The sequence below is a fragment of the Homo sapiens genome, chromosome 1 (assembly GCF_000001405.40).
Source record: "Homo sapiens chromosome 1, GRCh38.p14 Primary Assembly".
Taxonomy (NCBI): Eukaryota; Metazoa; Chordata; class Mammalia; order Primates; family Hominidae; genus Homo; species Homo sapiens.
Window position 1 is genome coordinate 172,361,116 of NC_000001.11, and position 18,306 is coordinate 172,379,421.

General features: G+C 34.7%; 1 protein-coding gene and 1 pseudogene across 16 annotated transcripts in view; both read left to right on the forward strand.

Annotated features, from left to right (window-relative positions):
* Positions 1-18,306, forward strand: part of DNM3 (dynamin 3) — a 576,969-nt gene that overhangs the window by 519,618 nt on the left and 39,045 nt on the right. For all 16 annotated transcript variants that reach the window (NR_146559.2, XM_017000979.2, NM_001350206.2 and 13 more), the window contains one exon: positions 17,903-18,067. Coding sequence is in view for 15 of the 16 variants with exons in the window: in XM_017000979.2 (XP_016856468.1) it covers positions 17,903-18,067 (165 nt within the window). In the remaining variant the exon portion in view is untranslated. The remainder of the gene's footprint in view (positions 1-17,902; positions 18,068-18,306) is intronic.
* Positions 5,425-5,531, forward strand: RNU6-157P (RNA, U6 small nuclear 157, pseudogene; annotated as a pseudogene).

The following is an 18,306-nucleotide window of genomic DNA, read 5'->3' on the forward strand; positions in this document are numbered from 1 at the left end:
TGGGATTTCCTGAGCATCCTGTGTCCCTTCTGCACTTGTTCTCGTTTCACTGGGTCTCAGAAAGAACCAGTAAGGCTTATGTGGGAGGGGCAACTTTCTTTTTAAAGTAGAGACTAGAAGAAAGCTTCGTAACTTCTCCTTTCCCGTTCAACCATTTGCCTACCTTAGTGCCAATTATGACGGTCAGGGAATGGTGATGTCTGTCTAGTAGAAACTAGCTGAGATCACATTTGAATGTTAAAACATAGATACTTTCTTTTACGCTAAGTCAGACACTTCTTTTTCCTGGGAATTTTCAGGCCTGAGACCATAAATAGCATTTTTATTTCATCCTGTACTCTATCCTCAGTAGAACCTTCAATCACTTAACTCCCCTGCTTTTCCCAGACTTATATCTCTTTACTGCAGGGTTCTCAAACTGGAGTACTTAAAAAATGCAAATGCTCCTGGCTTCACCCCAGACCAATTAAATCATAATATTTGAGGGTGGAGCCCAGGTATCAATAGTCTTTAAAGCCATCCCAGGTAATTCTCCCAGCAGCCAAGTTGAGAGTCTTGACCTGACAAGTAGTGTTAGGTTCTCTCCTTACCCTGAGCTCCCTGTTTGGCATCTCAGTGTTGTCTGTGACATCATTCTGCAATAGCCACCTCTCTATGTTAAATGTTTATTAGTGATTATGGTGAAGCTTTCTACACAAGTCATCAGTGCTAGGTCTTTATGCTTTTTCTGTCCTTCCAACCGTGAACGCTTAGTAAAAGAAAACTTGCTGCAAAATCTGGACCATTGCAAATACCCAACACTTATAAGACCCTGCCCTCCTTTCACTCACCTCTTTGTTGACTAGCCAATCACCTGCTCCAAAAATGATCTTCCATCACATCTGTCCCTCACTTTTCCTGTAGGCAAGAATGTCACCTCTTAAGAGAATACAGAAGCCAACCAGAAGAAGCTGCCCAATACCTTTATCTTTACCTCAGCTGAGCATTCTTCCACCATTCTCTTCTTATTCTTCCTTTAAATTGTTAAAAAGAAAAATTCCACTTTCACTTATTAAATATGATTGAGTACCAACTGTGTGTAATACATTAAAATACAGGGGAGAAGACCTATTAGAAAGCAATTAACAATAATACATGAAAAGAATATAAAGCCTTAACGATAAGAAATGTTTAATAAGCTATGAGTGTCTAGGAAAGAGGGATCATTTGGGCCAGGTCTTGAATAATGAAAAGATTTTAGCAATCAAATATCAGGCAAAAGGGCATTCAGATTCAAAGGGGCAACATGGCTAAAGGCACCAGGTCGTGATGTGCATGGTTTGATTTGGGAATAGCAAAAGGTCTGGTATAACTGGAATATGGCATGAAAGGTGAATTTTTCGAGTATTTCTCCTGTACAGCATACTGAATCTCATTTGTTTGTTGTTATTTCTAGTGTCTTTAGTCTTTTGCCTTCTGGCTTCTTTTTAAACTTCATATATACACATGTCTTCCCTGGCCTAAAAGAAACATCTTTGACCCAACCCTGGTATCTTGATAAACACCGTGCCATTCCCTTCATTTTTCTGCCAAACTTTCACAGTATGACTTATACTTTCTTTCAGCCCCCTTTCCACATTCTGCACCTCACCCTCCTAATCCAGCTTCTGGCCCCCCTTTAATCCTATCCACAAACCCCCATCCCCACAGAAAAGCTCTGTTAAAGATTCTTCCATCATTCAGACAAAGCCATTGCCAGCCCTCATTCTATTTAACCTCTTAGCAATATCTGGCACTGTTAATGACTGCCTTTTTCTTGAAAGCTTTTTTATCTAAAGTAGCCTGGGATGATGCATGATCTTTGAACCCTCCTCACCTTTTTTTTAACTCCTTATGGTCTCCTTTGCTGGCACTTCTTCCACCTCCTTAACTGTGAATATTCATCCCCAAATACTTTCCTCCCTCTCTTTCTTGTTTCATTCCATTATTTATTCTTCCATTCTGAAAGCATTTACTGAGTACTCACACTAGGCCAGGCACTTTGCTAAACACAAAGACAAATTTGTTTTTTTCTGTACACTCATTGCTTTTAAGAATGTTTTCTATTCTTATGGCTCCAGCTTCCAATTTTGTATGAAAGATTTCTAAATCTACATTTTCTGTTGTGGCTTCTGAATGCTCATTCTGTGATTCCAGTTGCCACCAGATATGTCCTTTGCATCTACAAAATTTACTAAAAAATAAACTCATTTTTTCCATAAAAACCGATTTCTCTGCCTCAGTTTATTTGCCCCAATCTATGAAGTCACCATATCAGTCTTCAAGACTGGACATCTGAGCATATTATTTTACTCTTAATAGATTTTGTATCCAATCTGTCACAATTTTCCAATAATTTCTTCTTGAGAATGCCTTTATGATCTACTGGTTACCTCTCCATTTTTATAGAAACCCACTTGATTCAGACTTCACACATAGTTTCTTACTAAAGACAATAATTGATCTCCCTGCTTCCAGTCTCACTCTCCTTAAATAAATTCAGCCTGCAGTTGCCATACTAATCTTCCTAAACCACTGCTTGAGCACATCCTTTCTGGTGACCTTTCAAGCCCACCACATGTCATCTCATCTCCTTAGCCTAACCCAAGTTCTCCACAATCTGACCACTCATTTTGCAATTCAGCCATATACTCTTCTTCTCAATATATTTGTTACCATGTCCTCCCCAGTATTTTCCCTAACACATCAAACTAATTTCCACCTCCATTCCCTTTGTTTCCCTCACCTAGATGCCTTCTAAAGGTCTGCATGCCCCAGTACAACCAGGCCAAGTCTCACTCACTTTCTTTCCATAGCCTTGCCTGGCTCCTGAAACCTCTAGAAAACTCTTCTCTCTTGAAAGGCTAATTACACTTAGAGGCTATACCATACCACTTAGTTCATATTACATGCTATCTTTATGACACATTGTTTTTGGCCTGTTAATGGGCTCCTCCCCAAATACAGGGTAAACTTCTTAGGTGCAGAAACTGTGCTGTGACTTTCCCTTTAATCTCCAAAGAAACCTAGTGCATGTCTCATCATATATTAAATGTTTAATATATAGCCTGGGTTAGTTGTAATAATTATCTGTGCTTCAATAAACTGGTTTAGACCAAGATAGACTCTACAAGTACAACAGAAACTTATGTTTACACTGTGTATAAGGGGGTCATTTTCTGCTGTACAACATTAGTATCTAGTCTGCATGTCAGTTTTGAAGTAGATGCCTTTTTCTAACTCAAAAAGAGGCAGTTAAGGAGTAATTATTGAGCCTCCAGATCTAAATACCAAATTATAGGAAATACAAGGAGTGGAAGAGCACATTAAATGATATGCAGGGGATGCAATCAGCCAAATCCACACTGGGGGATTGGACAGAATCTATAGGACAAAAAAAAATTTTTAATAACAAATTGCAAGAGCAAGAAATAGAGAGATGGAGAAGTCTGAAGATTAAAATAGCCATAACAGAAATATCTACCAATCACAGTGACATGGTTTGGATCTGTATCCCCACCAAATCTCATGTCAATTGTAATCCCCAATGTAGGAGGTGGGGCCTGGTGGGTAGTGACTGGATCATGGGGATGGATTTCTCATGAATGTTTCAGCATCATCTCCCCTTGGTACTGTCCTAGTGACAGTGAGTGAGTTCTTATAAAATCTGGTCATTTAAAAGTATGTGGCACCTCCCTGCTCCCTCTCTTGCTACTGCTCTGGCCATGTGAAGTGCTTGTTCCCCCTTCACCTTCCACCATGATTGTAAGTTTCTTGAAGCCTCCCCAGAAGCCAGGCAGATGCTAGTATCATGCTTTCTGTACAGCCTGCAGAGTCCTGAGCCAATTAAACCTCTTTTCTTTATAAATTACTGAGTCTCAGGTATTTCTTTATAACAACACAAGAATGAACTAATACACACAGTATATGGACTTATTTCGATTCAAACTCAAACACATAACCTTAAAAACATTCTTTAAAGACAACTGGGGAAGTGTAATATGAATACTAAATGTATAATAATGTTAAAAAATTATTAATGTTTTAGATAATAAAAATAGTATTGTGTTTATGTTTTCTAAGGGTTCTTATCTTTTAGGATTATACACTGAAATATTTACAGATAAAATTATGTGATATCTGAGTTTGCCTCAAAATAGTTGAGAAGTATAGACGGAACAAGGTTGGCCATGTGGTGAATTGTTGAAGTTGAGTAACGAGAGATTAATTTGTACTATTCTTTCTATTCTATCTACTTTTACATATATTTAAAATTTCTCAAATAAAAATATTTTTAAAGTAGTCAGTCATTGATGTTAAGAAATTCTTGTTAAATATTTTTGATGTGATAATGGCACTGTGGTTATGAGTTTTGAAAAGGAATTTTTATCTTTTAGAAATACCAACTGAAATATTCATGCATGAAATGAAAATAATGTAGACATTGATGTCGTTGCATTTTTAAAGATTATAATAAAATGAGGCAAAAAATGTTTAAATTGTCATTTAAAAATTTCTTATCCCCAGAAAGACATCCATAAACCTCAAGGTGAGAAAACAATACTTTAGACAGTTATGTAAAGCCTGTTCTGTGTTTTGCCTGTTTATACCTAAAGACTACATAGCAAGCAAATCTGTGAGTTGCACATCCTGTAGATGAGCGCAAAGAGATGAGTAAAAAATAACCAAACACTGTACGTGAGAAGTCATAATCTTTAAAGATACAGGATTTGTCTTAAGAGTAATGGCTTTAAAAACTGGATTATAATCCAGGTAACATCAACCTTCAATAGATATACATTCAGACATGCTAGTGCCAGATAAAGTGGCTAATGCCTGTAATCTCAGCTAGTTCAGAGGCTTAAGCAGGAGGATTGCTTGAGGACAGGAGTTTGAGACCAGCCTGGGCAACATCACAAGACCTTGTCTCTTAAAACATTTTTTTAATTAATTAGCTGGGCATGGTGGCATTCACCTGTAACCCTGCTACTTGGGAAGTTGAGGTAGGAGCATTAGTTGATCCCAGAAGTTCAAGTGAGCTATGATCACACTACATGACTGCAGCCTGGGCAACAGAGCGAGGCCCTTTTTCTAAAAAAAGTAAAAAATGAATAAATAAACATGCTAAAGTATTCCTTGCTTTTGAAAAACAAAACAAAACCAACCAAATACAAAGAAAACTCCAGAGGCTTTCCCCAATATCAATTTAATTCATAAATTTAGTATTAGCCCTCCAAAAAACTTCTTTTCAGTGAAATGTTGATTATTAGCAAATTTATCTGATTTCAGGAAGAAGAGTCTTGTCTCTGTGATTAGAATATTCATGAGCAATCAAATGGCCAGTAAGTTAATATCAGAACCTAGCTGAATGTCTGGAAAACCTACAAGTTAGAAAATCATTCATGGGTGCTCACTTTAGTAGCACATATACTAAAATTGGAAAGATATAGAAAAGATTAACACAGCCCCTGCACAAGAATGACATGCAAATTCAGGAAGCATTTTGTATTTTTCTGAATGAGAAATTTAATAAAGAGATACATATTATAAAAAAGAACTAAACAGAAATCTTGGAGCTGACAAATTCAATGATTGAAATAAAAAATACAATTGAGAGATTCAGCAATAGACCAGATCAACCAAAAGAAAGAATTTTTAAACTTGAAGGTGACTATTTTGAAATAACCCAGTCAGAAAAAAAGAAAAATAAAAAAGAATTAAGAACACCTACAGGACCTATTGGGACACCACTGAGCAAATATTCACAGTATGAGAATTTCAGGAAAGGCATAGAAAACCTATTTAATGAAATAATAGCTGAAACCTTTGCGTGTCTTGATAGAAATATAGATATCTAGATCCAGGAAACTCAAAACCCCAAATATATTAAGTTCAAAAAGGTCCTCTCCAAATCACATTATAGTCAAAGTAACAAAAGTCAAAGACAAAGAATTCCAACAATAGCAAGAGAAAAGTGTTAAGTCACAGATAAGGGAATCCCCATTAAGCTAACATTAGATTTCTCAGTAGACACCTTATAGGCTAGGAAAGAATGGGATGATAAATTCAAAGCACTGAAAGAAAAAAAAAAGATGTTAGCCAAGAATACTATACCTACAAAATCTATACTTCAGAAATGAAGGGGAAATAATGTCTTTCCCAGACAAACAAAAACTGAGGAAATTCATCACCACTAGACCAGCATTACAAAAATTATTAAAGAAGTCCTACACATGGAAGCAAAAGGATGATAATTCTACCGTCCTAAAAACATGCAAAAGTGTGAAACTCACTTATAGAGCAGATACACAAATGATTAAGGGAAAGGAATTTAATCTTATCATGTCAGAACACCACCAAACTGCAAAGATAAATAATGAGAGAGGAAAAACAGAAACAAAGGATATACAAAACAATGAGAAGACAAAAAAGATGACAAGATTAAGTCCTCTCCTAACAATAATAACCTTGAATATGAGTAGATTAAATTCCCAAATTAAAAGATATAAACAACTGGCTGAATGGTTAAAAATCAAGACCAAACTATATGCCGCCTACAATAAACTCACTTTACCTATGAAGATACTCATAGACTGAAAGTGAAGGAATGAAAATATATATTCCATACAAACAGAAACCCAAAATGAGCAGGAGTACTGCTATGGTTTCACTGTGTCCCCACCCAAATCTCATCTTGAATTATAGTTCTTATAATTCCCATATGTCTTGGGAGGGACCTGGTAGAATGTAATTGAATCATGGGGGTGGTTTCCCCCATGCTATTCTCATGAGAATGAGTAAATTCTTACAAGATCTGACGGTTTTATAAGGGGCATCCCCCTTTGCTTGGCTCTCATTCTTCTTGCTGCTGCCATGTGAGGAGGGACATATTTGCGTCCTACAATACCCCACTCTCAGCATTGCATAGATCACCTAGGCATAAAATCAACAAAGATACATTGGATTCAAACTGTACTATAAATCAAATGACCCTAACAGACATTTACAGAACATTCTATGCAATAGCTACAGAATATGTGCTCTTCTCATTAGCACATGGAACATGCCCCCGGATAGATCATATGTTAGGCTACAAAACAAGTCTCAACAAATTTTTAAAAATCAAAATCATATGAAATATATTTTCTTATCACAATGGAATAAAACTAGAAATCAAAATCAAGTGGAACTTTGGAAACTGAACAATTACATGTAAATTAAACAACATGCTCCAAAACAACCAAAGGGTAAATTAAGAAATTAAGAAGTACATTAAAAAATTTCTTGAAACAAATGAAAATATAAACATAATATATCAAATCCTACGCAATACAGCAAAAGCAGTAGTAAGAAGAAAGTTTATAGCAATAAACACCAACATCAAAAAAGTAGAAAGATTTCAAATAAACAACTTAATGATGCACTTCAGGGAACTAGAAAAGCAAGAATAAGCCAAACCCAAAATTAGAAGGAAAGAAATAATAAAGATCAGCGCAGAAACAGAGATTAAAACAACAATACAAAAGATCAAGGGAACAAAAAGTTGGTTTTCTGAAAAGATAAACAGAATTGACAAACCATTAGCTAAACTAAGACAAAAAGACCCAAATAAATAAAATCCATAATGAAAAAATGAAACATTACAACTGATACCACAAAAAAGAAATATTACAACTGATACTTCAGAAATACAAAGGATTATTGGAGACTTTTATGAAGAATTATATACCAAAAAATGGAAAACCTAGAAGAAATGGATACATTCCTGGGCACATACAAGCTACCAAGATTGAACCAGGAAGAAATGGAAAACTTGAACAGAACAACAATTCGGTAACGAAACTGAGTCAGTAATTAAAGTCTCCCAACAAAGAAAAGCCCAGGACCAAATGGCTTTGCTGCTGAATTCTACCAAACCTTAAAAGAAGAATTAACACCAATTCTTCTCAAACTATTTCAGAAAATGGAAGGGAATTTTTTCAAACTCATTCCATGAGGCCAGCATTACAAAGCCAAACCAGAGAAGGATGCAAGAAAAAAAAGAAAACTACAGGCCAATATCCCTGATGAACATAGATGCAAAAACTCTTGACAAGATACTAGCAAACTGAATACTACAGCATATCAAAAAGATTATACACCATAATCAAGTGGGATTTATCTCAAGGATGCAAGGATGGTTCAACATATACAAATCAATAAATGTGGTATATCACATCAACAGAATGAAGGACAGAAACAATATAATCATCTCAATAGATACAGATAAAAATTTTTACAAAATTCAACATCACTTCATGATAAAAACTCTCAATAAATTAGAAGGAATTTAACTCAACACAATAAAGGGCTTATATGACAAAACCACAGCTAACATCATACTAAACAAGGAAAATCTGGAAGCTCCTTCTCTAAGAACTAGAACAAGACAATGATGTCCACTTTCTCTACTCTTATTTAACATAGTACTGGAAGTTCTAGCCAGTACTATTTGGCAAGAGAAAGAAATGTGGCTAGTTCCAGTTGTGATGTGCTGTAAGTGTAACATATACATTAGATTTCCAATACTTTCTACAATAAAAGAATGCAAAATATCTTATTAATACATTTTATTTTCATTAATTGATTACATATTGTATTAGTTTGCTAGAGATGCCATAACAAATTATCATAGACTAGGTGGGTTAAGCAAGATAAATGTATTTTTCACAATTCTAGAAGGTAGAAGTCTGAGATCCAGGTGTTGTCAGGTTGGTTTCTTCTGAGGCCTCTCTTCTTGACTCATGTCATCACATGATCTTCCCTCTGTGTGTGCCCATGTCCATATTGCCTCTTGTTATAAGAACATCAGTTATATTGGATTAGGGCCCACCCTAATGAAACCATTTTAACTTAATTACTTCTTTTAAAACCCCATCTCTCAATATAGTCACATTCTGTGGTACTGCTGGTTAGGGCTTCAACATGAATTTTGTGGGGGACACAACTCAACTCATAATGCCTGTCAAAATAATAATATTTTGGACCTATTTGGTTAAAAAAGGCAGTATTAAGGTAAATTTCAACACTTTATTGTTACTTTTTAAAATATGGCTACTAGAAATGTGGCTTGCATTATACTTCAATTGGACAGTGCTGGATTTTATTTCTTTGGGACACCAAAACACTGTATCATCACCTGTTGAAAGAATAAGAAAAAGTTCTCATTTTAAATAATTTGCCATTTTCTACTATATTTCCCTTTTAGTACTAAGTTTTATTTTGGTATTGCTAATAAGCAAAAGCAGTGAGATGCTATATAAAGAAGATGAAATGTGCACAAAGAAAATTAGACCAGAGTTCTATTTTGATCTTACTATCTTTATGATCTCAGGCATAGCCCTTACCTTTTCTTTAATTTCTTCTTTCTACAAAAGAGAGGATAACAGCCTACATTTGTTGAGTGATTATTTTGTGCCAGGTACTCTTCTGAATTTCTACACTACTAATTTATTTAATCCATACAACAACCCTTTGAAGATTTTAGGTAGTAGTATTACTCTATTTGAGAGAAAACTGAAGCACACAGAGATTAATTAACCTGCCCAAGACTCCAGAGTTAGTAAGTGGTAGAAGCAACTGGTCTAACTCCATACCATATCATTTATTTCTCCCTGTACTTCTGTCTCACAAGATATTTGTGAGGATCTACTGAGATGGTATATGTGAAGGCATTTGAAAACTGATGACTGTTAATTATTTTCTTTGTCTGCCTTCCTAGGAACATTTCAGAGAAAGCTATTATTTTTGTCTTTTGACCAGCAAATCTATATATCTTTCTTTACAGCCTGGTAATTTCAGAACGAATAGAAGTGTTTGTATCTGTGGGTTTGACACACTACTGAATCACAAAGTCTTTGGAATAATTCTCAAAAGCCATCACTTTTAGCCCACTTTCTCATTCATTAATGCTCTATTCTTTTTCTAGCATGTCTAGCAGAATTCTCTTGAATTCTTGCAGTGAATTGGTGCTCCTTAAATACCTGCTATTTTGGAATAGTTTTGACTTAAATACATTTTCCTTTTCTCCCAGTTGCAAAATGTCAGGGCTGACAACTGAAAGGGCTTCTGAAGATTGTCAGTGTTCTCATATTCAGATAGGTAGCAAAGAATCTGACACATTTGGTATAATAAACCCACAAATGTTCATTAGTAAGATTGTAGCCTGATTTATTTCTCTGATTTAGAAAACACGCTTAAAGAAGGAGAGTCTGTCTGCAAGGAACCTTCTGAATTCTTTTTTTAATTCAAGCTCGTATATATAAATATTGTAAACTGAGATGTCGCTTATGTCATTTACATCATTTATCTCAAATAATAAAAATGGTTCACTTTTTTTGAGCACTACTATATGTCTGACACTGTGGTAAGTGCCTTTTCTGCATTATTCTCACTTGGTGATATCACACCTGCCCTGTCCTATAAAATGTATAATGTGCATATATTACCTCCACTTATAAGCACAGAAATTAAGGCTTAGAGAGGTTGAGTAACTTCTTAACTAACCTCACTAAAGTCACAAAGCTTATTAGTGACAGAGCCAAGATATAATACAGGTCATCTAATTCCGTAGTTCATACTGTTAATCACTATTCCACATTTCCCTCAAACCAAAGTGGATTGAGCATTCAGGGTATTCTGTCTAAGTCAGGCAGATATTTTTATTTTTATTTTTATTTTTATTTATTTTTATTTTTATTTTTTATTTTTTTTACTTTTTTATTTATTTATTTATTTATTTATTTATTTTTTATTATTATACTTTAAGTTTTAGGGTACATGTGCACATTGTGCAGGTTAGTTACATACGTATACATGTGCCATGCTGGTGTGCTGCACCCACTAACTCGTCATCTAGCATTAGGTATATCTCCCAATGCTATCCCTCCCCCCTCCCCCCACCCCACAACAGTCCCCAGAGTGTGATGTTCCCCTTCCTGTGTCCATGTGATCTCATTGTTCAATTCCCACCTAGGAGTGAGAATATGCGGTGTTTGGTTTTTTGTTCTTGCGATAGTTTACTGAGAATGATGATTTCCAATTTCATCCATGTCCCTACAAACTTATATTTGATGAATTCTGCAAATAGGTGTATGATCCAGTTTTTCTTATAGCTTCTGTGATTTGGTAATCCTCCTACAGATGGTAGAATATGGTATTCACAATAATATGAAAAATATAATTAAATTTGACAAGAATTCTATTAAAACAGCAAGATTTACCATCCAGAATTATTTCATTTATTTTTAATTCATCTTTTATCTTAAACATACCACCTTGATGTTATGTGAAGCTATCTTATATGCTACCTTAAGCCATATGCATTCATTTATGAACCCTCTAAAACTATGTGTCATGCCCTTTCTATTTTATGTTTATTGCCAGGTAGTTTATAAGTGATTAAAGAATATTGCTAGAAATTATATTTAATTAGATAGATAATGTTACCATATCACTTTTGATTCATTTGGCCCCCAATGTAGTATGAAATCTTGTAATTAATTTTTTTTTTTTTTTTTTTTTTTTTTGGAAAGAGAGTCTTGCTTTGTCACCCAGGCTGAAGTGCAGTGGTGTGATCTCGGCTCACTCCCACTTCTGCCTCCCAGGCTCAAGTGATCCTCCTACCTCTGCCTCCTGAGTATCTGGAACTACGGGCATGCACCAGTATGCCTGGCTAATTTTTAAATTTTTTGTAGAGACCAGGTTTCATCATGTTGCCCAGGCTGGTCTCAAATTCATGAGCTCAAGTGATCTACCCACCTTGGCTTCCCAAAGTGTTAGGATTACAGGCACAAGCCACCATGGCCTGTGATGAGAATTTTTAAGAAAAGCCATTTTATCAAATATTTCATTTAACTAAAACACCTTTAATTCAGAAAGCATTATGTCTATTCTAAAAGTGTTTATATGGATTAAATAGACATAAACAATTGGCAGAGGAAAAAACATAGTACTCACTAACAATAGTATTTGTAGAAATTTTGAAGCCATGGTTAAAAAAAGAGAAATTTGAGGGACAATGTAAATACATGCAGTAATAATGCTTTCTTAGCAAAATTCGCATCTTTAGTCTCCTGTCACCTTATTGCTTTGTAAAGAAACATCTTGATCCCAGTCATAAAAGTCATTTAGACTTATAAACTCATTAATGTTTACTAGCAGTTGCAATCTGATTTCTTCTCCTAAACTACTTTAAAAATAGTCTAAGGAAAAAAGCTTTTAAAAACCAACATCAGCTTTATCTCTTACACCTCACGTAATACTTACAAATCTTATTAATAAAGCACTCAGGACAATCTGATACACTACAAAATTTAAAATAATACAGAATTGTTTCAAATAATAATTGCATCCTTCTATAAAATTTGCCTTAGAATAGTTTTAATTTTTATTATAAATGCAGCCATAGTTGTTGATCTTTAAGCAATCTTGACTCTCTTTGTTTTTGCCACTTTATAAAATGTAGACAAATCTGATAGCCAAGGTAAATACCAGAATTAGGGTAAAGCAAAGATAGTTTTGTTTTTTTGTACTTTACATCCTCCAGATTGTCAAACAGGCAACATACACACATTCAATTTCAGAAGAATGAGAGAGAGAAGTAACAAAAGAAAAAAAACTCCAGACCCAATGATTATTACTCCAAGAATATAGATCTTTGTCTAAGCAATCTTCTTCAGAATATTAGTAGTTATAGAACTCTCAGTATATTTTTATCATCTTCACAAAGTTATTTTTCTGTAAACTAAAGGTTTGCCTAAATTGAGATAAGCTCCTTTAAATTTTAATTTATTTTTTAGTTGGGTATGAGCATTTACAGTGACAGAAGAAGTTCTGGTTTTGGCAACTTTGGAAGTAGCTCCCCAACTTTGGGACATGTACGTGTTGTCTGTATGATGACTCAGCTGTGGTCTGGTGCTATTATCACATAATGTTCTATCTTTGAATATTGGAAACAAGAAATTTGCAACAGCTCAACCTAGCAAATTTCTTCTGATTTTGTTTTCATCTTTCCTTTCAACAAAAATTAACTTAAATTTCCTAAAACAGCCTTCAGGTCTTTTTTTAATCTTGATCATCTACTAAGGCTCTTGGGCCCTGGGAATGTCTGAGAAGGTGCACTCAGTAATTCATGTGTAGGAATAGTTGAAAAAGTTATCTTCAGGCCTTTCGGGAGTTCTGTAGTTGGATGTAGGTGACAGCTTTATCAACTACAGTATTCAGTGAACATCAGGGAAGCTTAAAACCCCTGATTATAGCTGCTTTTTTAACGGCTTCGTTTTTCTTCTGTACTCCAGAAAGAAATGATTCTACTCACAGAATTTTACAGTTGTGTGTGGTTTTTTTGGTTGCTTTAATGCTTTGTATTATTTTGTTTTTACTAAGAAGTTTTTACATGTAAAGCAAGTGTAATTGTATTTACATTGAACTTTGAAAGATTTTCTTCCTCATAATGTAAAGAAAAGGTAAATAAGATCAACTGCATACCTATGCTATTATTTTGCTATGTAGTTTATTATGACGGCCCATGCTGCTTTCATATTATTTGAATTTTATTGCCCCTGCTTTCTCTAGGACTTTATTAACTTTGATATAGTGCATCTATACTCATCCATGTAAATGATTTTGAAGAACAAAACAATTGACAGATTTTGCTTTACAATATCTGTGATTTTTGTTTCATACCTTTGTCCATCTTTCAATCTTTGTAAACAGACCTAGTTCTTTATTGCGTAGACCTTATAATCCCTTAATACCCTGATTCTAAACTGAATGAGCTTTAAAAGTGCCTGTTAAACAAATAGTATAAAGGATACAATAATTTAAAATTTCTTTACAGTTACAAGTTTTTAGGTGATGGAAGTAGAATTCCTAAAATATAGATTACTCTTGTGTCATTTTCCCCCTAATCTTTAAGTGTTATCTTCTTATAAATGAAACCACGGGGGTTTTTCTTGTGATTATAGTATTTCATTATTTGAGTATGTAAACATGATGATGATGGTGTTACAGAATTAACAGTAGCAGAGGAATCGCTCTGAGTCAAAAACAGCCTTCATCATGATCAATAGCACAATTGTTTTATGTCTGTAAGGCATTTCTCATAGGACTATATTTGGTCATCCTGGTAGCTTTTGGAAACACATGTTTTGTCTCACAGTATTTGTAGACCACTGTTGGTGGTGGGGTGAGCATCATCAACACTATCTTAACCCATACCCTTCCAGCCTCATCAAATTAGAAGTGAATGATTGGCAGTGGAGAGAGGTTTTCAGTGAAACCATTCTTGATAATGTAGGGCTGGAAAAATTCACAGGTACGTTACCATGGTAACAGTGTTTTCATCGTGATGACCTGATTTACTAAGAAAAAGTCTTCAAATAAGTCTATGACATGATTAAATAAGAGATTTAAGGAAAGGGAAAAGACAAAAACAAAACACCTGAAAGACATTCCAGTCAAGCCCAGTGCTTCTATAATAGACGCCCCAAGGTATGGTGAGAATTATTTCTGATTCAACACTTTCATTCCCTCACCTGTTAAAGTAGTAAACCTTTAAAAGAAAGCTTTTAAATTAAAATTTTCAGCTACTTGGGAGGCTGAGGCGGGACCATCGCTTAAAGCCAGGAATTTGAGATAAGCCTGGGAAACATAACAAAACCCCATCTCTAAAAAAAAAAAAAAGGCAAAATTAGCTGGGCGTGGCATGTAGTTACAGCTATATGGGAGGATCCCTTGAGTTCAGGGGTTCGAGACTGCAGTGAGCTATGATCACGCCACTGCACTTCAGCCTGGATGACAGGGCAAGACTCTGTCTCTAAAAACAAAAATAATAATAGTAGTTATAAAAATATGTTTTAAATAACTTAAAACTTTATATAACAGCCTGTTTCTTAAATACCATGCAAATAATTTCGGAGAAAGTAAGTTATGGTAATTTTTATAAATGACTTCACATTTACAATGCTGGTGTTTTTATTGGTTAAATTAGATTTCTCAATAGCTATTTTTAAAAACTGCAATAGGAAGGACTGTCTATTGTATTTTTTAGAAACAAGCTGGTTTCTACAATATTATTCACGTTTTTTAAACAGCATCATTGAACCTGCACATAAAAGGTTAAATGTTTGCAGACCATTCTTTTTTGCCTCAAAGATCAGAGACAAATTACTATTTTTATTTTACATTTCCTTGATGAGGATAATGATAAACAGCTGTCATTTCAGTGCTTCAACTGCAAAGAACCTTATTGCAATCCTATAATTTAAACAAAGAAAAAATATAGTCATACACAATATACATACAGAAAAGAGCACAATGGAGAATTTGGTTAGAACTGGGGTTAGAGAAAAGGAAGTGTTGCTCTCTGCAATTACTCACGTAAAAGAAAAATTCCATTTATATGCATTTTTCCCGTTCATCTTAGACATTGGTAGAAGGGGCAGTTTACTGCTTCTTTTTTTCTAAAATGAGGAAATAAATCAAATTTGCATACTGAACTCTGTGACTCCCCATCATGTCCACTGTATTATCAGAATAGTTAAGATTTGCATGTCACTACATGTCTGCAAGTATTTCCAAAAGCTAAGAAGAATTTCAAATTGTTTTACTGATTATTTACTAAAGCCTCTCAATTTTTTTTAATGCTAAGAATTAAACCAGAGTTCTCTATTCACTCTGACACTTTGTTTTCTAATTGCATCTGGTTTCAAAAAGTGAAAGTCAGTGTCTTTTGCTTATTTTGATATGCAAAAAAGTGAAGCATGGTTACATGTTAAGAAAGCTGTAAAATGGGGAAATTTAGTGTTTCTATATGAAAATGTGGATGCTAATATAATTTTCCTGGTGTTTCATATTCCTCGAGGTGAATGTAACAAGTTATTTATTCTGCTTTTCTCCTTTAGCTCAATTATTTATTTTTTATAACTATCAGTACTTTAAGGAATTTTTCTAGAAACTCTCTTTATGTTCTGGTTTCTTAATACCTAAGGAAAAAATTGACTTAAAATAATATTTATCTAACATTTATTGAACAAATTTCAGTTCTCAGAGCTTGAATATATTCTTATATGGGTTGACAATTACGATGATACCCCTGTCCTAAGGTTGTGCTACAGATCTATATAAAGTACATAGCACAGTACCTGGAATACAATATTTGCTCAATAAATGTTCCTGGGAAGTGGTAGTAGGTTTATGCTGAAATGCCATTACCTGGTACTGCTAAACACAACGGCAAAATCTAAAATCCAAGAATGTTTTAGATCAGAGAGACAAATGGAATTGTGTTGTATTCCTAATGGAGGCTTATATTTCTTTATATAGAAGATGTTTTCTTCAGAAAGCTGTAGGTCATCATCTGCTCTCATTGATATATATCATATATATATATATATATATATATATATTTCATAATCACTTTATCATCCTCATTATCATCAAGTTGTAGTAGCTCCTAACTCCTCAACTTGGAATTTCTCTGGTCTGTGCTTTCTCTTACAAGTAGGCTTTCCTGGAGGCCCTAAATGCACTGGAGCCTCAGAAATGTCCTCATACTGTAGTCCCAAATCATGAGGTCATGCTCTCAGGACTGGGAAATGAGTTGAGCATGCATTATTTTAATGTGTTTTTTAGAACAATAGACATTTCTGAGTGACAGAAGCCTATATAAATGATTAGAACCAATTCTATCAATATTGTTGATTTTGTGGCCCATCAATATGCTTTTCACACAAGCATATTGATTCAAAGGAAAGGCTTATCATTTAATATCCAGTAAAGCTATTTAGCACAGTGCTATGCCTAGAACTGATTGGATGATTGAAAATCAAAGTATGTACATTTCCAAAGAAAAGCACTTCGTGTCTACATGGAAGCAATAAATTATTTCCCCATTTTACATTCATAATTAAATCTTTCCAAATGCTAGAAAGTAGCCAGACCACTAACAATAATACCTGTGTCATGTTCTGGGGCTTAGATGGTTCAAGCTGACTTGAAATGGAGACCATTTGTTCTAAATTGATTTCAATGCCAAGCCAATAGGTCAGCCCTTAATGATGAAGAAGCCATTCCAGCTCAGCCTCTGGTGGATAAGCCAACATTAATTAACTCAAGTCTCATAGTATAGGAAACAGATGCTTTTCTCATGTTGCACAAATAAATTCTTTGTGTATAGATGTGTTCTGTTTTATTCAAAGAATAACAAGTTGGAAGTAATAATTGTAAGTTTTTCACAATGGAGCCAGTCTTTAGTAGTGATGACAGAAGCATGAATTTACGTAACAAATTCCAGCAAGTGCATGGAAGAATAAATTATCTTCTATATCTCTTATTTTGGCTTCAGGCAGCCCTACAAAATTTAGCTTTGAATGTGGGAGGATCCAAATGCTGATCCATCCCAGAGCAGACCTAGAAGTGCCAGAACAATACCAAGGTTATTTCTAATCTATAGCTTCCCTGGAGACTCCTCTCAGAGGTTTACATTTGCATCATATGTTTGGATTCAATTCTTTGGCCAGCTTGCAAATGGCTTAAGATTAGATTGTTCTCTGGAGGTATGTTGTTAGGTACACTGTTTATTTGGTTATTCATCTCAACCTTCATTCAGAATTAGAATACTTACTTGCTTTCCCTAGAATGTGGCAGGCTAAAAATTGAGTAATAACGGCAGGTTCCCCCATCTCCTTTCAGAACCAGTGGATGCATAAGATAAAAATGTTACCATCTACTGATATAAACTCCAACTATGCTAATCAGAAGTTGATAATCTGATAACGACTGACATTTTATTTTCTTCTGAGTGAATATGAGATAATCCATGGTTTGTTTTCTCTTCTTTTAGGCTGAAAATGATGAGAATGGACAAGCAGAAAACTTTTCCATGGACCCACAATTGGAGAGGCAAGTGGAGACCATTCGCAACCTCGTAGACTCCTACATGTCCATTATCAACAAATGTATCCGAGATCTAATTCCAAAAACAATAATGCACCTTATGATCAATAACGTAAGTGATTATAAACTACCTCCATTTAACTTCTAACCCATCCGAGTGTGGAAGTTGCACATATTATCTTCAGCTTCTTTGTGTATTTTCTGGATAGTTCAAATAATATTACCCAGGTTCATCATTTTCCATTAGACGTGATATGTGACTGACCAGTGAAAGAGAACTTAGGGAAGAAAACTTAAAACTTCTAGCTATAGGACTGAGGTATTCCCCATTGGCTGTCTTCTAGAAGAGTG